Source organism: Homo sapiens, chromosome 10 (assembly GCF_000001405.40).
Source record: "Homo sapiens chromosome 10, GRCh38.p14 Primary Assembly".
NCBI lineage: Eukaryota > Metazoa > Chordata > Mammalia > Primates > Hominidae > Homo > Homo sapiens.
In genome coordinates this window covers 68,611,512-68,635,475 of record NC_000010.11, presented here as the reverse complement: position 1 = coordinate 68,635,475, position 23,964 = coordinate 68,611,512, and the positions used below count along the sequence as shown (strand labels likewise).

The 23,964-nt window shown below is 42.6% G+C and overlaps 1 protein-coding gene and 1 pseudogene across 18 annotated transcripts in view, besides 3 other annotated features; both read right to left on the bottom strand.

Moving 5' to 3' along the window:
* TET1 (tet methylcytosine dioxygenase 1) overlaps nucleotides 1–23,964 on the bottom strand; it is a 134,151-nt gene that overhangs the window by 59,012 nt on the left and 51,175 nt on the right. The window lies entirely within an intron of this gene.
* Nucleotides 2,640–3,139, bottom strand: COX20P1 (COX20 pseudogene 1; annotated as a pseudogene).
* Nucleotides 6,657–6,857: a silencer, noted in NCBI's record as "peak999 fragment used in MPRA reporter construct". NCBI's record gives its function as "represses an SCP1 promoter by STARR-seq MPRAs in K562 erythroleukemia cells {active_cell/tissue: K562}" and the evidence as "EXISTENCE:reporter gene assay evidence [ECO:0000049][PMID:32103011]".
* Nucleotides 17,588–18,088: an enhancer, noted in NCBI's record as "H3K27ac hESC enhancer chr10:70377145-70377645 (GRCh37/hg19 assembly coordinates)". NCBI's record gives its function as "activates a minimal SCP1, AML or CMV promoter by ChIP-STARR-seq in primed H9 embryonic stem cells {active_cell/tissue: H9 hESC(primed)}" and the evidence as "EXISTENCE:reporter gene assay evidence [ECO:0000049][PMID:30033119]".
* Nucleotides 18,089–18,589: an enhancer, noted in NCBI's record as "H3K27ac hESC enhancer chr10:70376644-70377144 (GRCh37/hg19 assembly coordinates)". NCBI's record gives its function as "activates a minimal SCP1, AML or CMV promoter by ChIP-STARR-seq in naive and primed H9 embryonic stem cells {active_cell/tissue: H9 hESC(naive and primed)}" and the evidence as "EXISTENCE:reporter gene assay evidence [ECO:0000049][PMID:30033119]".

Sequence of the window (23,964 nt, the reverse complement as noted above, 5' to 3'; positions counted from 1 at the left end):
AAATGAATCAATGTATTCCTATAAACTGTAGGTTGTTGTTTCTGTTAAGAGACAGGGTCTTGCTATGTTGCCCAGGCTGGTCTCAAACTCCTGGGCTTAAGCAGTCCTCTCACTTTAGCTTCCCAAAGTGCTGGGATTACAGGTGTGAGACACCAGACCCAGCCAAATTGCTGGACTTTAGTATATGTTGAAATGAACTGACTTATTTAAAGGAAAAATGCCTATTAGATAGGCATTTTTCTACTTGTCCTCCAACATTTGAGAAAAACCTTTCCTTTTCTACTTGTCCTCCAACATTTGAGAAAAACCTAGTAATTCCAGTCTCAAACTCACAATTAATAAAAGAATATTGGAAAAAATATATATATTATATATATATATTGCGCCAGGCATGGTGGCTCATGCCTGTAATCCCAGCACTTTGGGAGGCTGAGGTGGGCGGATCACGAGGTCAGGTGTTTGAGACCAGCCTGGCCAACATGGTGAAACCCAGTCTCTACTAAAATATACAAAATATACAACCAAGTCTCTACTAAAAATACAAAAATTAGCCAGGCATGGTGGCACACACCTGTAATCTCAGCTACACAGGAGGCTGAGGCAGGAGAATTGCTTGAACCTGGGAGGCGGAGGATGCAGTGAGCTATCACAGCACCGCACTCCAGACTGGGCGACAGAGTGAGACTACATCTCAAAACAAACAAACAAACAAAAAAGAACATTTATGAATACCTATTATTATGTACTGAGAATTTACTACTTGCCAGGTATCATTATGAACAGTACTTCATAGGAATTCTCTCATTTGCATCTCCCACTAAGTAATATTAGTATTTCCACTCACTGAACATTTCTTATTCAGATCAGTATCAAGAACCAGGCCTCAAACCAGAGGTCTAACAACAAGGTCCTAGTGTCTAACCCCCAGGCACTGTTTTAAAATTAACAATTCAGTAGCAAATAGTAAGTGTTAACATTCACAATGAATTCCACTGGATACTAATGCTAACTAAGATGCACTGAATTAAAGTTACAATGAATTTAAGTTACTTCTTTTGGTAGTTTACTTTCTTAGATTGTACAGATTATCAAATTTCCAAATCCACTGGCCTGTTTTATTCATTTGTGTGTCAAAGGATGTTAACTGTGAGTTGTAGGAGTATAGCATTGCTCTTCAAAATATTACCATCTTATGTCCAAAATCAATATTTACAGTACACACTGAGTTCAGAGCAAGCTGCTAGGGAAAATGGGTAAATTTAGAACTCAATTTAGAATCCAATCCTTAGCTAGTTGCGGTGGCTCATGCCTGTAATGCCAGCCAGCACCTTGGGAGGCCTAGACAAGAGGATTGCTTGAGTCCAGGAGATCAAGAACAGTCTAGGCAACATGGTGAAACCCCGTATCTACAAAAAATTTAAAAATCAGCCAGGTGTAGTGGTGCGTGCCTGAAGTCCTAGCTGCTCAAGAGGCTGAGGCAGGAGAATCGCTTGAGCCCAGCTGGTCAAAGCTGCAGTGAGCTGAGAGTGAGACTGTTTCTCACAAAAATAATCCATTCCTTGAGGATGTGGTCAAAGGTCATGGTCCATTTTCCCTCCAAATATTCCTTGGACTACAAACCCTCCTCATTTCTCTATAATCCTGATATGTTCTATATTTTTACCTTTTTCATCATATTTTATACTTTCATATAACTGGGAGACTAAGAGCCAGTGAAAACTTATTAGCATTAAAAAATACCCCAGGGCTGGGCACCGTGGCTCATGCCTGCAATCCCAGCACTTTGGAAGGCCAAGGTGAGCAGATCACTTGAGGTCAGGACCAGCGTGGGGTTTCACCTTCAATATGGTGAAACCCTATCTCTACAAAAAATATTACAAGTAATGGCAAAAACCGCAGTTACTTTTGCACTAACCTAATACAAAAATTAGCCAGGCATGGTGATGCATGCCTGCCGTCCCAGCTACTCAGGAGGCTAAAGTGGAAGGGATCACTGGAGTCTGGGAGGCAGAGTTTGCAGTGAACCGTGGTCACACCACTGTACTCCAGCCTGGGTGACAGAGGAAGACTGTCTCTCAAAAAACAAAACAAGACAATAAAAAAAAAACCCAGTATAAATTTCCATATTAATTTTTAAAAAAACAAATTAAAAGACCATACAAATATAGATTAATCAGACAAGATTAAATCACACTAGTTTTACAAATAAGGTTTATGTTCACTCATACTGTAAAGGCTCAATATAGAAGGCAGACTTCAACAACACTTTGTTTTTTTGTTTTTGTTTTTTTTGAGATGAGGTCTCACTCTGTCACCCAGGGTGGAATGCTGTGGGGCAATCTTGGCTCACCGCAACCTCCACCTCCTGGGTTCAAGTGATTGTCCTGCCTCAGCCTCACTAGTAGCTGGGATTACAGGCGCCCACCACCACGCCCAGCTAATTTTTGTATTTTTAGTAGAGACGGGGTTTCACCACGTTAGACAAGCTGCTCTCGAACTCCTGACCTCAGGTGATCTGTCCTTTTTTTTTTAAAATTCAAATACCATTTAAATGCTCCTTAAGAGTTCAGGAGATTCTTCCTATGACAAATCTGGTTTTCTTAAGACAATTTTGTTTTCTTTCTTTTTTTTTTTTTTTTTACAACTTAAACTTTATTTACTTGATTGAGAGCTTATTGCACATGAAATGTTTTATGTGGTTGATCTTAACTTCGTTTACATTGACTTCTTTTCTATGCTCAAGATTGTTCAATTGCTGCTGCCGCCGTTGTGTTTTCTTTCAGGATCGAGGTGGGTACCTTCATATAATATCTTCTTTTTAATTTCTTCTCTGGCAATTCTTTCCTGGATTCTTTGCCTTGCATAATTATACCTACAGTGAAACCAGCATCCCAAAGTCACCAAGATAAACCCCCCTACTCCAACATCACATGATCTTCTAATTCTACTAGTGAACAAAAAATGTCCAAAGCCAGCCACAACAGATCCTAATGAACCATACAATATTGAATGCCGGGCGCAGGGAGTATTTTCAACATCTAAAAATCCTAGGAGCTTAAGGGACTTCCTCTCCTCGGGCTCACCGGGCTCCGGCGTGGAGGCCATGAGGACTACTCCGCGACTCCACCCGCCCTGCACCCTTTCTTTTTTTTTTGAAAGGGAATCTGGCTCTGTCACCCAGGCTGGAGTGCAGTGGCGGGATCTCGGCTCACTGCAAGCTCCGCCTCCCGGGTTCACGCCATTCTCCTGCCTCAGCCTCCTGAGTAGCTAGGACTACAGGCGCCCGCCACCACGCCCCGCTAATTTTTTTGTATTTTTAGTAGAGACAGGGTTTCACCATGTTAGCCACGATGGTCTCGATCTGACATCGTGATCCACCCGCCTAGGCCTTCCAAAGTGCTGCGATTACAGGCATGAGCCACCACGCCCGGCCAGATCCTGTTTTCTACTAGGGTTTAGCCAATATCAAGTCATCTTTCGTGGAATGCTCCCTCATGATCAAAGATAGCTTTCAGGGACCTTGCCTAACTCCAAGCAGAAGGCCATCAGATAACTAGTTAATTCATGATCCGACAAGCCACCAATCAACGTTTAGGCTTTTAGTTCTTTCACTATTGCCCCTGTGGTCTTGGGTCTCTAGTCAGTTCCTCAAATGTTACCCCTTAAAGAAAAAAGTAATGTCTATTTACGTCTCAGCTTTCTAAGAACATAAGCTGCAAGAATACCGAGTATTTATTTACCATCAAGCACTTAGCTGGTGGTAATATGCACAGACGTGTTTACACATTCCTAAGAGAAAAATCAGCTTTCTGGAGCCAAAGTTTGGAGATCTGTAAATCGTCCCCTGCTGGCTCTTTCCCCACAGGCAATAACAAGCAGGTCTTTCCTATCTTAAGAAAACAAAACCTGGGTGGTGGCTCACGCCTGTAATCCCAGCACTTTTGGGAGGCTGAAGTGGGCGGATAAGGAGATGGAGATCATCCTGTCTAACATGGCAAAACCCAGCTCTACTAAAAATACAAAAAAAAAAAAAAAAAAAAAAGAAGAAAGAAAACAAAATCTTCTGGGGATAGTTAGCTAATACCCTACCACATTGCACCATTTTACAACCAAAGTCCTCCAAATAATTGTCTGCAATCACTGTCTGTCTAACATGCACTCTTCGATCTACTACAATTAGGTTTTTGTTCCCACCACTATGTTGAAACTATTCACCAACGTAGTCCCCACTGCCAAATTCAATGGAATGCCAGAATCATCTTTGTTTTTAATATATTTCTTTTGTTTTGTTTTGTTTTTTGTGACAAAGTTTGGCACTATTGCCTAGGCTGGAATTCAGTGGCAGAATCACAACTCACTGCACCTTTGAATTCCTGGGTTCGAGTCTCCTCCTGCCTCAGCCTCCCAAGTAGCTGGGAATACAGGCACACACCATCATGCCTGGCTAATTTTAAAATTTTTTGTAGAGACAAGGTCTCATTATGTTGCCCACGCTGGTCTCAAACTCCTGGGCTCTAGGGATCCTCCTGCCTCAGCCTCCCAAAGTATTGGGATAAAAGGCTGAGTGCCCCCGCACCTGACTAGAATATATTTTGATAGTATTACTCACTTCTTTAGGATCGTCGTCACTTCAATTCTCCACTCTTTATTTCACTTACCTTTGCTGGCTCCCACGTCCACCTATAAATGATGGTGTTCCCCTATGCCCTCTGTCCAATCTCTCCACTTGTCCACATACTTGGCATCAACCTACACTTATTTGCTGATAACTCCCCTATCAAGACAAGATCTTTCTCCTGAATTCCAAACTCAGTCAACCACCAACTGGATATCTTCACCAGACAAAAGTCAACCACGTCTAGGCCAGGCACAGTGGCTGATGCCTGTAATCCCAGCGCTTTGGGAGGCCGAGGCAAACAGACCACCTGACGTCAGCAGTTTGAGACCAACCTGGCCAACATGGTGAAACCCCATCTCTACTAATAATACAAAAATGAGCTGGGCGTGGTGGCAGGTGCCTAAAATCCTAGCTACTCAGGAGGAGGCTGAGGCAGGAGAATATCTTGAACATGGGAGGCAGAGGTTGCAGTGAGCCAAAATAGCACCACTGCCCTCCAGCCTGGGCAACAGAGCGACACTCCGTGTCAAAACAACAACAACAACAAAACTCAACCATGTCTAAAAGTTATGAGTAACCTCTTCCCCATACCTGCTTTAATCCCAGTACCCACTTAATAATAACCCAAGGCTCCTCTCAAAATACCCCTATGTTCAAGACCCAAATTCAGCCACCAAGTTCAGCAGAGTCGATCTACTTAGCACCTCTTCCATCCAGCCCGTGTCCTCTACTCATACTCCTTCTGCCTCACTGTCTTCACTCAACAAATATAGAGTACCTAAAACATGCTCTAGAAATGGTTAAGAAAATAAAAAAAGATACCAGATTTATGGAGATTACACTCTAGTGGTTGTTCTGACAAATATTTTCAGAACCTAATCTTCTATCAACTCACACCCTTACAGGATTAGTCTCAGAATTGAGGGTGACTTTAAGTATGTAGCACTTCCAATCGTTCATATTGTTTTAGGTAAGCACTGACCAACAGAACCAGATGAAATTAATATTAATAATATACTTTTGGCTGGGTGCAGTGGCTCACGCCTGTAATCCCAGCACTTTGGGAGGCCAAATTGGGTGGATCACAAGATCAGGAGATCGAGACCATCCTGGCCAACATGGTGAAACTCCGTCTCTACTAAAATACAAAAAATTGGCCGGGTGTGGTGGCAGGCACCTGTAGTCCCAACTACTGGGAGGGGAGGCCGAGGCAGAAGAATCACTTGAACCCGGGAGGCAGAAGTTGCAGTGAGCCGAGATCATGCCACTGCACTCCAAGCTGGTGACAGAGGGAGACTTTGTCTCAAAAAAAAAAAATTAAAAATAATAATATACTTTTATTTAAGGCAATATTAAAAATATCTCAACATTTCAAAAATACTTACAAGCTAAATATCTGATTATATTTCATAGATATATTTTAAAGTAAAAGTTACAATTAATACATCTCAATTTGATGCTACATTTTTATTTAATTATTATTATTATTTTTTGAGACGAGATCTTTCTCTGTCGCCCAGGCTGGAGTGCAGTGGCACAATCTCGGCTCACTGCAACCTCTGTCTCTCAAGTTCAAGCGATTCTCCTCTCTCAGCCTCCCAAGTAGCTGGGGTTACAGGCACTCGCCACCACACCCAGATAATTTTCACATTTTTAGTAGAGACAGGGTTTCACCATGTGGTTCAGGCTGATCTCAAACTCCTGACCTCAGGTGACCCCCCCACCTCAGGCTTCCCAAGTGCTGAGATTCCAGGCATGAGCCACCGCGCCCGGCATACATGCTAAATTTTTAGTGACTAAAATAAAATGCAGGGATACCAAAACGATGAATTTCTATTTTAGAGAAAAATGTTTTCTGTTGCTTCAGTTTTCAAATTTAAATTGATTGAAATGAAATCACAAAGTCAGTTTCTTAGCTGCCCTACCCAAATTTCAAACATTAGACTGCAGTTTTAAGGGGCTCCTTCTAATATGAAACTCTCATTCCTTCAGGCTGCATTCTGCACCTGCTAAACATCAACATCACCTAGGAGGGGTTTTAGAAAACCACAGCCTCTGCATGATTTCCTTAGGTCTGGAGCCTTGCCAAATGCTATTTCAAGCAGCCTTGCTTCAAGTCCTAGAATGCCCTTGTTATTCGATCCTTCCCCGGTCCAGCAGCCCCAAAATCACCCATTCATCTCTAAGAACTGGACAAAGGTGACAGTAAACTACACATTTCTTCACCAGCTTCAGTTAGATAAAACTAAGCACCCCTCCCTTTACTATCCCTACACAGCTCTCTATCAAATCCATTGATTGTACTTACTGATTTGATTGCAATGCTATCCCTTCCTGGACTTCAAGGACAGATCTTGGTGCTTGTCCCCCAGGCTCAAAATTGTTTTATTTGGGAAACAACTGGAGAAATCTAAGGATGAACTTTGATAATGTAAAGGAATTGTAATACTGGCATAATCATGTAGAAAACTCTTATTAAGAGATTTAAACTTAACGACGACACCTTCTAGTCATTCACTCAGAGAAAAAGACTTGTTTTCTTGAGAAAACAGATTTAGTGGCCTTTATTGCATTCTTCTCTCAATTTGTTTTGTTAAAAAACTGTCATTTCGGCCGGGGGCAGTGGCTCATGCCTGTAACCCCAACACTTTGGGAGGCCAAGGCGGGCGGATCACCTAACATCAGGAGTTGGAGACCAGCCTGGCCAACATGGCGAAACCCATCTCTACTAAAAATACAAAAAATTAGCTGGGCGTGTTGGTGGGTGCCTATAATCCCAGCCAAGTGAGCCGAGATCACGCCACTGCACTCCAGCCTGAGCAACAGAGTAAGACTCTGTCCCCCCCAAAAATAATAATAGTAATAATAATAATAAATATTTGGGGGCCGGGCACGGCAGTGCTTTCTTTCTTCTTTTTTTTTTAGACATAGTCTCGCTCAGCCGCCCCGGCTGGAGTGCAGTGGTGCGATCTCAGCTCACTGCAACCTCCGCCTCTCAGGTTCAAGAGATTGTCCCATCTCAGCCTCCCAAGTCGCTGGGATTACAGGCACCTGCCATCACGCCTGGCTAATTTTTGTATTTTTTTATTTTTTTGGTAGAGACGGGGTTTCACCATGATGGCCAGGCTGGTCTTGAACTCCTGACCTCGGGTGATTTGCCGTCTCGGCCTCCCAGAGTGCTAGGATTACAGCGTGAGCCACCGCGCCCGGCCACTTTATTTCTTAACTGCATGGTGATTGAGTTTTCTTTTTACTTTTTTTTGAGACAGAGTCTCGCTCTGTCACCCAGACCGGAGTGCAGTAGCACGATCTCGGCTCACTGCAGCCTCTGCCTCACGGGTTCAAGCGATTCTCCTAACTCAGCCTCCCGAGTAGCTGGGATTACAGGCGTCCAGCACCATATCCGCCTAATTTTTGTATTTTTATTTTATTTATTTATTTTTTTTTTCGGAGACAGAATCTTGCTGTCACCCAGGCTGGAGTACGGTGGCGTGAGCTTGGCTCACTGCAACCTCTGCCTCCCGGATTCAAGTGATTCTCCTGTCTCAGCCTCCTGAGTAGCTAGGATTACAGGCACGGACCACCACACCTGGCTCATTTTTGTATTTTATTAGTAGAGACGGGGTTTTACCGTGTTGGCCAGGCTGGTCTTGAACTCCTGACCTCAGGTGATCCGCCCGCCTTGGCCTCCCAAAGTGCTGGGATTACAGGCATGAGCCACTGCGCCCAGCCTAATTCTTGTATTTTTAATACAGACGGGGTTTCACAATGTTGGCCAGGCTGGTCTCGAACTTCTTACCTCAGGTGATCCACCGCCTCGGCCTCCCAAAGTGTTGGGATTACAGGCATGAGCCAATACGCCCATCCAAGTGTTCTTTTTCTAATAATTCTTAACTGTACAAATGTCTTAAAGACAGACTTGCATGAATATTTCACAACCTAAAGTTTAAACCTCGGCGATAGAATGAGAATATCTCAAAATAAATAAATAAATAATAAAATAACAAGGGGCCAGTCATAGTAGCTTGCATCTGTAATCCCAGCACTTTGGGAGTCTGAGGGCAGATCACTTGAGGTCAGGAGTTCGAGACCAGCCTGACTAACATGGTGAAGCCCCGTCTCTACCAAAAATATAAAAAAATTGCTGGGTGTGGTGGCGCATACCTATAATCCCAGCTACTCGAGAGGCTGAGGCAGGAGAACTGCTTGAACCCAGGAGGCAGAGGTTGCAGTGAGCTGAGATCATGCCACTGCACCCCAGCCTGGTGACAGAGTGAGACTGTCTCAAAAACAAAATAATAATAATAAAGTAATAAAATAAATTTAAAATAAAGAAAAAGACAATAATAAATGTCTAGGCCAGGTGCAGTTGCTCACACCTGTTACCCCAGCACTTTCGGAGGCTGAGGCAGGAGGATCCCTTGAGGCCAGGAGTTCGAGACCAGCCTGGGAAACATAGAGAGGCTCTGTATCTACATAAACAAACAAACAAGCAAGCAAATAAATAGTATCTAGGTCCCAGCTGCTCATGCCACCTTACTCCAGCCTGGGAAACAGAATGAGACCTTGTGTCCAAACAAAACAAAACAAAACAAAACAAAAAATAAAAAAACGAGTAAAGAGAAAAAGAGAGAGACAAAGTAAAAAAGAAAACATTTTTAAAAGACATTAGAAGTCAGTACAACCATACAGAAAAGGACACCGTATTTTCCCTCCCCCTTTAAGTATTTTCTTTTCTTTTTCTTTTCTTTTTTTTTTTCTTTTTTTTGAGATAGGGTCTCGTTCTTACTCTGTTGCCCAGGCTGGAGTGCAGTGGCACCATCTCGGTTCACCTCACTCTGGAACTTGTGGGCTGAAGTGATTCTCCCCCCTCAGCCTTCTGAGTAGATGGGACTGCAGGCATGTAGATACCATGCCAGGCTTTTTTGTATTTTATAGACACTGGGTCTCTTCATGTTTCCCAGGCTGGTCTCAAACTCCTGGGCTCAAGCGATCCACCTGCCTCAGCCTCCCAAAGTGCTGAGATTACAGGTGTGAGCCATTACACTTGGCTCACTCTAAGTATTTCCTAACAGTTATAAACAGATAAATTCAAATCTGGGACTGCATTACTTCAATAGTATGAATTCCAGAGGTCCAAAAAGATTGGTGTTACACAACTAAAAACAACAATGAATCTTAAAATCATACAATTAAGGAAGGTTGCAAAGACCAACACAGCTGAGTGTAAGGCTTTTTATGAAAATAGGTAAAAATAACACCAGAAAACCATGTGATTTCCTGATATGTGAACACTGAAGGTTTTCTGTTAAAGTTACATCCTGACCCTAAAATATCTTTAATCTACACCTCTGTGGAACGTTGCCAAGTAGCCTTTTGTGACCCGCTTTTAAGCGACTTTGATGCCTGCTAACAAATGAGATGACAGCAGCAAAAACTAATGGGACTTTTGAGACCCCAAGGCTCCTGTGTGATGAAGCCTTGGCAGGCATTCTACATCTGAATATTAATAATAAAGCAATTTCTACAAGGCTTCTTGGCATTTTCTTTGCAAAACTGATTCAAACAAATCGGCTTGAGACAGTGCAATCATAGGGACTAGATACTGGATCAAATACAGTCAACAAAGGACCCTTGCCAGGAGCGGGCAAACTTGGCTAGTAGAAATTCAAATAAAACCTAAGACCTTCTAAATTTAACAATTAAGTGAAAATGAGTAAAATCCAAGTGTTGGGCCAATAATAAATGAGACCAATAACTACAGGCTACTAAAAGGGAAGAAAATTTAACTGATGTTGTAAGAGAACATACAGTAAGAAAAAGAAGCCGGGCGCACTGGCTCACGCCTGTAATCCCAGCACTTTGGGAGGCCGAGGCGGGCAGATCACGAGGTCAGGAGATCGAGACCACCCTGGCTAACACGGTGAAACCCCATCTCTACTAAAAATACAAAAAAAAATTAGCTGGGCGTGATGGCGGACTCCTGTAGTCCCAGCTACTCGGGAGGCTGAGTCAGGAGAATGGCGTGAACCCGGAAGGCGGAGCTTGCAGTGAGCTGAGATTGCGCCACTGCACTCCAGCCTGGGCGACAGAGCAAGACTCCGTCTCAAAAAAAAGAAAGAAAGAAAGAAGGAAAGAAAGAAGGAAGGAAAAGAAAGAAAGAGAGAGAGAGAGAGAGAGAGAGAGAGAGAGAGAGAGAAAGAAAGAAAGAAAGAAAGAAAGAAAGAAAGAAAGAAAGAAAGAAAGAAAGAAAGAGAAAAAGAAAATAAGGCCAGGCACGGTGGCTCACGCCTGTAATCCCAGCACTTTGGGAGGCTGAGGTGGGCAGATCACCTGAGGTCGGGAGTTCCAGACCAGCCTGACCAACATGGAGAAACCCTGCCTCTACTAAAAATATAAACTTAGCTGGGTGTGGTGGCGCATGCCTGTAATCCCAGCTACTCGGAAGGCTGAGGCAGGAGAATTGCTTGAACCCGGAAGGCGGAGGTTGCGGTGAGCCAAGATAGCGCCATTGCACTCCAGCCTGGGCAACAAGAGCAAGACTCCGTCTAAAAAAAGAAAGAAACAAACAAACAAAAAACACACACACAAGAATTAGCCAGGCATGGTGGCACGCGCCTGTAATCCCAGCTACTTGGGAGGCTGAGGCAGGAGAATTGCTTGAACCCGGGATGGGGAAGTTTCAGTGGGCCGAGATTGCGACACTGCACTCCAGCCTGGGCAACAGATCGAGACTCCATTTCAAAAAAAAAAGAAAAGAAAGAAAGAAAGAAAAAAGAAAATATGTGTGTTAAAACTATTATATTGCTTCATGAAAATATTTCACAAATGGGGGAGGCAGGAAACATGTACACAAGTCAGCTGAAAAATATGGAAATGTCTGGGGGAGAATAATCCAAGGCTGAAATTCAAAGGAAAAAGTGCTGGAAAAGGATTTGGGGTGGCAGCAGACAACACATCACACAGCAGTGTAGCTGTTACTAGAAAACAACACCAGAAAATGAAATAATCTTCTTTGTACATGCCAAGGAAAAGTCGCTTTGAGCTACTTAGGCATCAGTATATTGAGTCTTGCAAGTGAGACCTCAGCTAAATGAGTGTGGTGGAATCATCAGGGATGGTCTGTTTCGATGTACACTGAATTTCTACACACTTTACCCGTTGCCTGGTGGTGTTGCTGGATTTTACTAATTATGTGACAGATACACCAGAGGCTAACCCTGACTATGCAAGCTTAGTAGTTAAGTAAGTTATGAAGTGGCCATCTGTGTTTTCTGCTTAAGCCGTTGAGAGGATCTCAAAGGTAGAAGAGACCTTCAAGGGCATCGAGTCCATCTACTGATGCCAGGGGTGGACTCTGTTAACTCTATTAAGTGATTCCTCAACCTTTGCCAAGTATCCAAAGCAACAGGAAACTAACTACCTCGAAACAGTATGTAGTAGGCTGTTTCCTCCTCCCTTCTATCCAACAGTCCTATTTTAACCTTTCATATATTTGTCAGTAATAGTTTATAGCCCATAGAATAAAATAAATAGCTGTAAGTTTATATTAATATAACAAATAATTGATGAACAAAGAAATGGGAGAAAAAGGACAACACTTTTTTTACAGTAGAATTTCCATTAATAGATGTAGAAGGAATGGTAGAAACAGAAAATGACCATTTGGCAAACACCACATTAATATGTATTGGAGGCAAAGTAGATGCTAAATACGATTAAAGGACTTGCATAGTCTCCAAGTATCTCCCCACAATATATTAATATTTGTTAATTACAAAGGGAAACAGTAATTTTACAGAGGTGAAACCTGGCCAAGGATCTCTGTAAAACCCTTAAGCCAAGAGATCAAAGTTAACCCAGATAATGTGATTTTCTGACATGATACACAGCAGGGCACCTGACTCCTGTGGATTATTGCCAAAAATGCATATCCTAAATTTAATTATGAGGAAGTACCAAACAAGCCCAATTTGAGTAGCCAAGAGCAGTAGCTCACGCCTGTAATCCTAGCACCCTGGGAGGCTAAGGCGGGAGGGTCCTTTGAGGGAAAGAGTTTGAGATCAATCTGGACAACACGGCGAGACACTGTCTCTACAAAAATTTTCTTAAAAACCAATTTCAGGGACATTCTACAAAATAACAGACCAAGATTCTTTAAAACTGCCAATGTCATGAAAGGCAAACACTGAGAAACTATGTTGAAAGAGGACTGTGGAACTGTTCAACACTGAGGAACTGTGTGGAACTGTGTTGGAGATCAAGGAGAAATGACAACTAAATGCAATGAGGGGCCGGGTGTGGTGGCTCATGCCTGTAATCCCAGCACTTTGGGAGGCCGAGGCAGGCAGATCACCTGAGATTAGGAGTTCCAGACCAGCCTGGCGAACATGGTGAAACCGTCTCTACTAAAAAAAATACAAAAATTAGCTGGGTCTGGTGTCAGACACCTGCAATCCCAGCTACTCTGGAGGCTGAGGCAGGAGAATTGTTAGAACCTGGGAGGTAGAGACTGCAGTGACCCGAGATCATGCCACTGCACTCCATCCAGACTGGGCGACAGAGCAAGGCCTTGTCCAAAGAGGGAAGAGGGAGAGAGGGAAGGAGGGAGGGAGGGAGGGAAGGGAGGAAGGAGGGAAGGAAGGAAGGAAGGAAGGAAGGAAGGAAGGAAGGAAGGAAGGAAGGAAGGAAGGGCATAGGTATCCTATATGGAATCCTGCACCCAAAAAAGGACATTCGTGGGAATATTGGCCAAATTTGAGTTACATCTTTAACATAGTTAATAGCACTGTGTTATTGTTAACATCTTAGTTTTGACTGATACTAAGGCTATGTAAGATAACATTTGGGGATGTTGGATAAAGAGTATAAGAGAATTCTTTGTACTACTTTTGTAATCATTTTATAAATATCAAATGATATCCAAATAAAAAAAAGACAAACATATAACTATCTCAGTTTAGAGCCCATACTCCTGTTCCCAAGACCCTTTTTCTCCCTCAAGGCTCAGGTTTAAACAGAACTTTTAGATATAGGGAATGGATTTCATAATGTACATGACGTTGATCACTCAGTTCTTTAATCCTAAGGTTAGCCTTTGTGTTTTTCATTATAATTTGAAATTTCTTTGATTTTATTAAAGTCTCACTACAGAAAAAAATTGAAAATGCAACAGATGTAGAGAAGGAAAACCAGAAGAAACACCCCAAATCGTCTACTCAGGGGAAACTGGTATTTAATCAGCCAGATTTTAAAATTTTATTTATTTATTTTTTTTGAGATGGAGTCTCACTCTGTCACCCAGGCTGGAGTGCAATGGTGCGATCTCAGCTCACTGTAACCGCCTCCCGGATTCAAGAGATTCTCCTGCCTCAGCCTCTTGAGTAGCTGGAACTACAGGTGCAAGCCACCAAGCTCAGTTAATTTTTGTATTTTTAGTAAATACGGGGTTTCACCACGTTGCCCAGGCTAGTCTCAAACTCCTGAGCTCAGGAGGCTGAGGCAGGAGAACCACTTGAACCCAAGAGGTGTAGGTTGCTTTGAGCCGAGATCACGCCACTGAACTCCAGCCTGGGCAACAAGAGTGAAACTCCGTCTCAAAACAACAACAACAACAACAACAAGAAACACCTAGGCTCAAGCAATCCTCCCACCTTGGCTTCCCAAATTGCTGGGATTACAAGCATGAGCCACCATGCCTGGCCAACTGTTTTTAACACCAAAACCATAATTACCCAAAGAAAAAGATAAACTGAACACAACCAAAATTATGAGACCATAACTAACAGAATAAAATAACTGCAAACCATACATTTGATAAAGGACTTGTGTGTAGGACATAAAGTACTATTATAATTCAATAATAAACAGTCAAATGGCGCAATTTAAATATGAATAGATAGTTCTCCAAAGAAAACATACAAATGGCCAAGAGGCACATGAAAAGATGTTAAATACCATTAGCTATTCAAGATACCAGTTTGCCACCCACTAGGAGGCTAAAATTTTTAAGATGGACATTAATAAGTGTTGACCAGGATGTAGAGAAACTGAACCTTTCATCCACTGGTAGTGGGAACATAAAAGGATGAAGCTGCTTTGGAAAGGTCTGGCAGTGGCTCTTAAAGTCAAGCATAGAGTTAACATAGGAACCAGTAGTTCCACTTCTTGGTATGTACCCAAGAAGAGTGAAAACATGTCCACACAAAAAGTTCCACATGAATGACTATAGCAGGATTCTTCATAGTAGTTAAAAAGTGTGTGTGTTTGGGGGTGGGGGTGGTGTACAAATGGCCAACAACTGGAGGATATAGAAAGAAAATGAGCTATATACATAATACATACATTGAAACATTACTCAAGAAAAGTAGTGATATATGCTACAACAGATAAACTTGGAAAAGATTATGCAAAGTGAAAGTCAGTCACTAAGTATCACGTACTATATGATGCCATTGTTTGAAATGTCTGGAATAGGCAAATCCAGAGACAGGAAGTACACTAGTGGTTGCCAAGGGCTGGGGTAAATGGAAGGATTGGGGAATGACAGCTAAGGAGAACAGGGTTACTTCTTAGGTAATGAAAATGTTCTAAAATTGATTGTCATGATAGATGCACATTGGTGAATGTACTAAAAGCCACTGAATTGTACACTTTATTTTATTTATTTATTTTTGAGACAAAGTCTCGCTCTGTCGCTCAAGCTGGAGTGCCTGGCTCACTGCAATCTCCGCCTCCTGTGTTCAAGCAATTCTCTCTGCCTCAGCCTCCCAGGTATCTGGGGTTACAGGCCCCTGCCACCACGCCTGGCTAATTTTTGTATTTTTAGTAGAGACGGGGGTTTCACCATATTGGCCAGGCTGGTCTTGAACTCCTAAACTCAAGTGATCTGCCCAGCTCGGCCTCCCAAAGTGCTGGGATTACAGGAATGAACCACCATGCCCAGCCTGAATTGTACACTTTAAATGAGTGAACTGTATGGTATACAAATCATATCTCAATGAGACTGGGGAAATCAGTCATCAAAACTCGCTGAATAATATATTTGTGATCTGAGTATTTCACAATATGTAAAATGCACTTCAAAAACTAATGACACCTGCACAGCATGTTAAATATAGCTATTAGTGTACTGTGCACTGCAAATTTGCTGAGTACATTTCAAATATCCTCACCATAAGTTATTTAAGGTGATAAATATGTTAATTAGATTAATTTTCCACGTTGTATTCATAAAAATGCAATGTTGTTTTGTACCCCATGAATATATGCAACTATTGTTTGTCAATTTACAATAAAAATAAACTTTAAAAATAATTCTGCCATTCAAAATGAATGGGCGTGGTTGGGTGCAGTTGGCTCACACCCGTAACCCCAGCACTTTGGGAGGCTGAGGGGGCTAGATTACTTGAGCTCAGGGCAAAAAAGTGAGACCCCTCTGTCTCTACAAAAAATATTTTAAAAAGCCAGGTGTGGTGGTGAGCATGTGTGTTCCCAGCTACTTAGGAGACTGAGGTGGGAGGATCGCTTGAGCCCGGGAGGCGGAGGTTACAGTGAGCTGATGAGCTTCTACCACTGCACACCAGCCTGGGTGATAGAGACTCTGGCTCAAAAAAAGAGAATAACGGAAGGGGTGGACACATGTGTCTATACTACACATATGTAACTATAGAGATACTTGTATGTATATAGACTATACCTAGAAAGATACCCACAAAACTATCAAGACTGCACCTCTGATATATGAGACTAAGATTGAAAGAAGGGAGGAACAAGTATACAGGAGAATGTTTACTTTTCCTTTGTACCTTTAATTCCTTTCGAAAATTTAAAACTACTATTAAATGAATTCATTGAATTTCTTTTTACTTAATTATTTATTTGCTTTTTAAGAGACAGGGTCTAATTCTGTCACCCAAGCTGGAGTGACGTGGCAAGATCATAACTCACTGCAGCCTTGAAATCCTGGGCTCAGGTGATCCTCCCAGCTCAACCTCCCAAAGTGCTGAGATGACACCATTTGCTACCAGGCCAGGCCCAGATTTCCTTTTAAATCATACTGATTAATCTGCATTTTCTTTCATAACAAATTAATTTTGACTACACTTTGACATGTTGCCCTTGGATTATCAGTTGTACATAGGATTGTACTATACTTATGCTATTATAATAAGCTAAAATTTCACTCAGAGGTAATTTTTGTGTTTGTACATGACCTGAAGGGCATTTTCTGCTATTTGTTTCCTATCTGGTACATAAACAAATCTTTTTTCTTTTGTTCACAGCTAGGTGGTCCCAGATTGGAGGAGTAGGTTGTCACTGATTAATTGGTTATCTTCTATTTTACTTTATCTCCATTGACTTTCAGCATTGGGCTTCTTTTGTTTGTATTAAGGTCCTGGTAAGATAAAGCTCTGTGGAAGATAAGAGCAGGAAGGGCAAGATAAAGAAGGAATGAAGTCTATGTCACATTCCCGTGGAATTCTATGCCTAGTTAGCCTCATTCCCTAATACCTATTTTTTTTAAAAAATATGCCAGTTACTACAGCCACATTTTACCATACAGTAACCTGACTCCAACTTTCTTAAACCAAACTTAGCCATTTTAACTACACTGTGCAATCAGATATTGATCTAGTTTAAGTGAAGGTATAAACTAGATTTCATGAGTGGAGTGACACAAGAAGCCATAAGCATTTTTTACTATTACTTAAAAGGTTTCCTCCTTTACTCTTAAAAACTCAAGAGGTACCATTGCTATGCCCTCCCCACCCCCAAAATTCAAAGCCAGGTATGGTGACTAACGCCTGTAATCCCAATGCCTCAGGAGGATCACTTGAGCCCAGGAGGTTCAGGCTACAATGAGCCATAATTGTACTACTGCACACCAGCATGGACAACAGAGCAAGACACTGTCTCTTTAAAAAAAAAAAAAGAGAAAGAAAGAAATTCAAGATGACGTAAAGGTAACATGGTACAAGATAAAATGTTTGGGTTAAAAATAGAGTCCATTGGCCAGGCGCGGTGGCTCACGCCTGTAATCCCAGCACATTGGGAGGTCGAGGCGGGTGGATCACCTGAGGCTGGGAGTTCCAGACCAGTCTGACCAACATGGTGAAACCCCGCCTCTACTAAAAATACAAAATTAGCCAGACGTGGTGGCGCATGCCTATAAGTCCCAGCTACTCAGGAGGCTGAAGCAGGAGAATCGCTTGAACCCGGGAGGTGGAGGTTGTGGTGAGCCGAGATCATGCCATTGCACTCCAGCCTAGGCAACAAGAGTGAGACTCCCTCTCAAAACAAACAAACAAACAAACAAAAAAAACAAAGATCCTCAATGGATGCTAAAAACCAAAGAGAATTAACAGTATATTGACATAGTCTTAATGTATCTTCTCAGGCTGTGCTTGGTAGGGTGTCCCTGTATCCCCAGCATTTTGGGAGGCTGAGGCAGAAGGATCGCTTGAGGCTGGGAGTTCAAGACCAGCCAGGGCAATGTAACAAGACTCCATGTCTGTAAAAAAGTTTAAAAATTGGCCAGGCGCGGTGGCTAACGCCTGTAATCCTAGCACTTTGGGAGGCCGAGGTGGGTGGATCACGAGGTCAGGAGATCGAGACCATACTGGTTAACATGGTGAAACCCCGTCTCTACTAAAAATACAAAAAAAAATTAGCCAGGCGTGGTGGCAGGCGCCTATAGTCCCAGCTACTCGGGAGGCTGAGGCAGGAGAATAGTGTGAACCCGGGAAGCGGAGCTTGCAGTGAGATCGCGCCACTGCACTCCAGCCTGGGCGATAGAGCAAGACTCCGTCTCAAAAAAAAAAAAAAAAAAAAAAAAAAAAAAAAAAAAAAGGCCAGGCGCGGTGGCTCATGCCTGTAATCCCAGGACTTTGGGAGGCCGAGGCGGGTGGATCACGAGGTCAGGAGATTGAGACCATCCTGGCTAACACAGTGAAACCCCGTCTCTACTAAAAATACAAAAAATTAGCTGGGCGTCGTGGTGGGCGCCTGTAGCCCCAGCTGCTCGGGAGGCTGAGGCAGGAGAATGGCATGAACCCGGGAGGCAGAGGTTGCCGTGAGCCGAGATTGCGCCACTGCACTCCAGCCTGGGCGACAGAGCAAGACTCCGTCTCAAAAAAAAAAAAAAGTTTAAATATTATCTGGGCATACTTACATGCACCTGTAATCCCAGCAATTTTGGAGGCTGAATCGAGAGGATCGTGTGAGCCCAAAAGTTTGAGACTGCCGTGAGCTGTGATTGAGCTACTGCATTCCCGCCAGGGTGAGAGTGAGACCATGTCTCATTAAAAAAAAAAATTCTCAAAAGATTGCTTAATTACAAAATGAAAGACTAAGTTAGTACTGGAGAAACCTGGCAGATACACCTTAACCAAGTGATCTGTTAAGGTCACAAATTGACATGTGTCTCCAGATACGATGCTGCAGAGATCACAAACTCACTTCTGTGATACTCTTGTGAAAATGCATAACTTGAATGTAATCATCAGCAAATGCAAAACTCAATTTGAGGGAAATTCTTCAAAAATAGCTGACCTGTACGCTTGGAAAATATCAGATTGAAAGACTAAAGAGATATAGCAACTGAATGCAATGCATAATGAGCGTCTGAATTACAAGGTATTAGGACAATTGGTGACATCTGAATAGGTACTGATGAGTAAATTATTATCTGATGAAATAATAGCATTGTATCAATGTTAATTTCCTTATTAGTAGATTAAATAATAATAGCATTGTATCAATGTTAATTTCCTTATCAGTACATTAGTACATTAGATAATAATAGCATTGTATAAATGTTCATTTCCTTAATTTGATGATTTACAGTAAGCTAAGATGTCCTTATTTATAGGAAATACTCTAGTAAGGAGTTTAAAAAACACCATTCTTAGGCCGGACGTGGTGGCTTATGCCTGTAATCCCAGCACTTTGGGAGGCCAAAGCGGGCGGATCACCTGAGGTCGGGAGTTCGAGACCAGCCTGACCAACATGGAGAAACCCCATCTCTACTAAAAATACAAAATTAGCCGGGCGTAGGCGTAGTGGCACATGCCTGTAATCCCAGCTACTTGGGAGGCTTGAACCTGGGAGACAGAGGTTACGGTGAGCTGAGATCGCGCCATTGCACTCCAGCCTGGACAATAAGAGTGAAACTCTGTCTCAAAATATAAAAAATAAAAAACACTGTTCTTGCCTGGACGCAGTGGCTCATGCCTGTAATCCTAGCACTTTGGGAGGCCGAGGCAGGTGGATCACTTGAGGTCAGGAGTTCGTGACCAGCCTGGCCAACATGCAGAAACCCCATCTCTGCTAAAAATACAAAAATTAGCCAGGCGTAGTGGTGGGTGCCTGCAGTCCCAGCTACTCAGGAAGCTGAGGCAGGAGAATCGCTTGAACCTGGGAGGTGGAGGTTGCAGTGAGCTGAAATCATGCCACTGCACTCCAGCCTGGGCAAAAGAGTGAGTCTCCATCTCAAAAAAAGAAAAGAAAAGAAACACCATTCTGAAACTTACTCTCAAAGAATTCAGGGTAAAAACTGTGTGGAGAGAGAGAGGAAAAAAAAGAAACCTCAGGGTAGGGTATAAGGGAATACTGTGTACTATGCCAGGCTGGGAGCGGTGGCTCAAGCCTGTAATCTCAGCCCTTCAGGAGGCCCAGGCGGGTGGATCACGAGGTCAGGAGTTCGAGACCAGCCTGGCCAACATGGTGAAACCATCTCTACTAAAAATACAAAAATTAGCCGGGTGTGGTGGCACACGCCTGTAATCCCAGCTATTCAGGAGGCTGAGGCAAAAGAATTGCTTCAACCTGGGAGACGGAGGATGCAGTGAGCCGATATCACACCACGTTGGAGTGCCAACATGGGCAAAAAAGTAAAACTCAAAAAAAAAAAGCCATAAAAATTTTAAATTTTTTATGAAACACACAAGAAAGAAGTGAGAATGGCTGGGTGTGATGGCTCACGCCTGTAAGCCCAGGAGTTTAGGAGGCCAAGGTGGGCGGATTGCTTGAGCTCAGGAGTTTGAGACCAGCCTGGGCAACATGAAAAAACCCTGTCTCTATAAAATATACAAAATTTAGCCAGGTGTGATGGCATACACCTGTAATCCCAGCTACTCAAGAGACTCAGGCACGAGAACTGCTTGAACCCAGGAGGTGGAGAATGCAGTGAGCACACCTGTAGTCCCAGCTACTCAGGTGGCTGAGGCACAAGAATCGCTTGAACCTAAGAGGTGAAGGTTAGGTTGCAGTGAGCTGAGATCGTGCCACCACACTCCACCCTGGATAACAGAGCAAGACTCTTGTCTCAAAAAATTAAGAAGTGAGAAGACAGGATACTTTTTCATTTCAGAATTTAGCAAATCACATTTCTTGGGCAGTGAATTTGACTGAGTTTTTTGAAAAGTCAGGACAGAAAAATACATTTTTTCCTTTCTCCACTTTTGAAGGAAAACACAGTATTTACACTGTTTTTTATTTCTGACCATGAACAGCACATAAATTAATCTTCAGTATTTCCCCCTAGAAATTCTATTGAGCAGAAATTAGCTGTTAGACCTTATAGTATAATTGTATCATTTGTGATAATGCATAGCATCTTAGAAAATGTGGCCCAACTAAATCAGCATGGTCAGCATGGTCCTAAGTTGTTTTAGTGAAGTGATCAAATATCACAGGCTTTAAATAAACCCTGGACAGGTGGATTAAATTTCTCATGAAATGTTCCAATCTTCAGTTCAGCTATTTTACACTATCCATTAAGTGAGAGCATAAACCAGATTTCATGGGTGGAGGGACAAAATTAACATTGAAATAGCTTCTACTTATCTTAATCAGCAAATAACCTTCAAATAAGGTTCACCAAAATACTTTAAACAGCAATTTTTTTTTTTTTTTTTGAGACGAAGTCTCGCTCTTGTCCTCCAGTCTGGAGTGCAATGGCACGATCTCGGCTCACTGCAACCAGTGTCTCCCGGGTTCAAGCGATTCTCCTGCCTCAGCCTCCTGAGTAGCTGGGATTACAGGTGCGTACCACCATGCCCAGCTAATTTTCTGTACTTTAGGTAGAGACAGGGTTTCACCATGTTGGCTAGGCTGGTCTCGAACTCCTGACCTCAGGTGATCCACCTGCCTCGGCCTCCCAAAGTGCTAGGGATTACAGGCTGAGCCACTGTGTCCGGCCAACCAGTAGTGTTTTTGTGAGTGCTTCCCCATTGCTCTATTATATCATTACTTTTTTTTTCCATGTTGTTTTTTCAATGAACCAATGATTAAGGCATTCTTTTATCTTCATTCCCTGAAACCACTGGGGTGGATGCAGCAGATCAATTTAATCTCTGAGTTTACCCAATTACATTATTTTTTCCAATCTGCTAATCTCCTGTAATTAGGAACTTTGGACAGTCTCCAACAAAGACTCCAACAGTTAAACATAGATTGGACAACCTACCTGAAACTTACTGAAATTTACTGTCAGTTACCCAAATCACTTGACCATCAAATCAAAAGATTTTTTTACAAAATGGAACAAGTAGTCTATGCAACCATCATCAAAAAGAAAGACTTTTCTGTAGGTTTGGGTTCTTTTAAATGTAACATGTCAGAGAAAAGTTAACCAAATTAAAATAAATGTATTAAATATGTATCTTGATTTGCCATAGCAATTAATTACAGAGACTATCAACGCTGGATCAATGATTTGAGGAAGTAGTTTTTCCTTTACACCAAGATGCAATTACACAAATTTTGTAGTTCTGACTTAACTGACTGAAGTTAAGCTATAATGTGTATGAATTCAATTATTCATTAAAAAGATAAATGTATTGAGTTGTAAACACAAGATATTCTGTTAGACACTGTGGAGAACAAAAAGGTGAATACTACTCTACCCTTAAAGGATTTGTAATGATTCATAAAAGCAGCCAGGCATGGTGGGTCATGCCTGTAATTCCAGCACTTTGGGAGTCTGAGGTGGGCAGATCAGTTGAGCTCAAGAGTTCAAGACCAGCCTGGGCAACATGCTGTAAACCCGTCTCTATGAAAAACACAAAAATTAGCTGGGCGTGGTGGTGTGTACCTGTAGTCCCAGCTACTTGGGGGACTGAGGTGGGAGGATCGCTTGAGCCTGAGAGGTGAGGCTACAGTGAGCCGAGATCTTGCCACTGCACTACGGCCTGGGTGACAAAGTGAGACTCTATCTCCTAAACAAAACAAAAACAAAAAACCCCCATACATATAGAATAATAAATGCAAATAAAAACTTAAGCAAATTAATAGACTATAAAGGACTTTATTTTATTTTTCAGTTTTCAAACTGGATCCCAACATGTTGCCCAGGCTGGTCTCAAACTCCGGGGATCAGTGGATTCTCCAAACTTAGCCTCCCACACTGCTGGGATTATAGAATTGGGTCCTAGTACCTGCTGATCACATTAAAACAAAATGACTGGCCGGGCCCGGTGGCTCATGCTGGTAATCTCACCACTTTGGAAGGCTGAGGCTGGTGGATCACCTGAGGTCAGAAGTTCAAGACCAGCCTGGCCAACATGGTGAAACCTCGTCTATACCAAAAATACAAAAATTAGCTGGGTGTGGTGGTGTGCCCCTGTTGTCCCAGCTAGTCAGGAGGCTGAGACAGGAGAATCACTTGAACCCAGGAGGCGGAGGTTGCAGTGAGCCAAGATCGAGCCACTGCACTTCAGCCTGGGTGACAGAGTGAGACTCTGTCAAATAAAAAAAAAAAAGAAAACAACAACAAGATATGCCTCATCCATTGTAAGTAAATTAAAACAGAAGTGACATTTTCAAAAGGAATGAAAAGCCTCTGTTGAATATAGGCTTATATTTCTCAGTAAGGCTATCAAGTGAATATACCAAGAGGAAATAATATTATTTTCTTTTCCCCTTCCTCCCTCCCTTCCTTTCTTCCTTCCTTCCTTCCTTTCTCCCCTCCCTCCCTCTCTCTCTCTCTCTCTCCCTCTCTCCCCACCCCCCCCACCTCCCGAGCTACTCATGGAGACTGAGGCAGGAGAATCACTTGAATCCAGGAGGCAGAGGTTGCAGTGAGCGGAGATCGCACCATTACACTCCAGCCTGGGCAACAGAGCGAGACTCCCTCTAAAAAAAAAAGAAAGAAAAAGAAAAGAAAAGAAAAGAAAAGAAAGAAAAGAAAAGAAAAGAAAAGAAAGAAAGGGTCTCTGACAATTGGCCTAGGCTGGAGTGCAGTAGCATGATTACAACTCATTGCAGCCTGGAACTCCCAAGCTCAAATGATCCTCTCACCCTAGCCTCCTGAGTAACTGGAATGACAGTCATAAGCCACTATG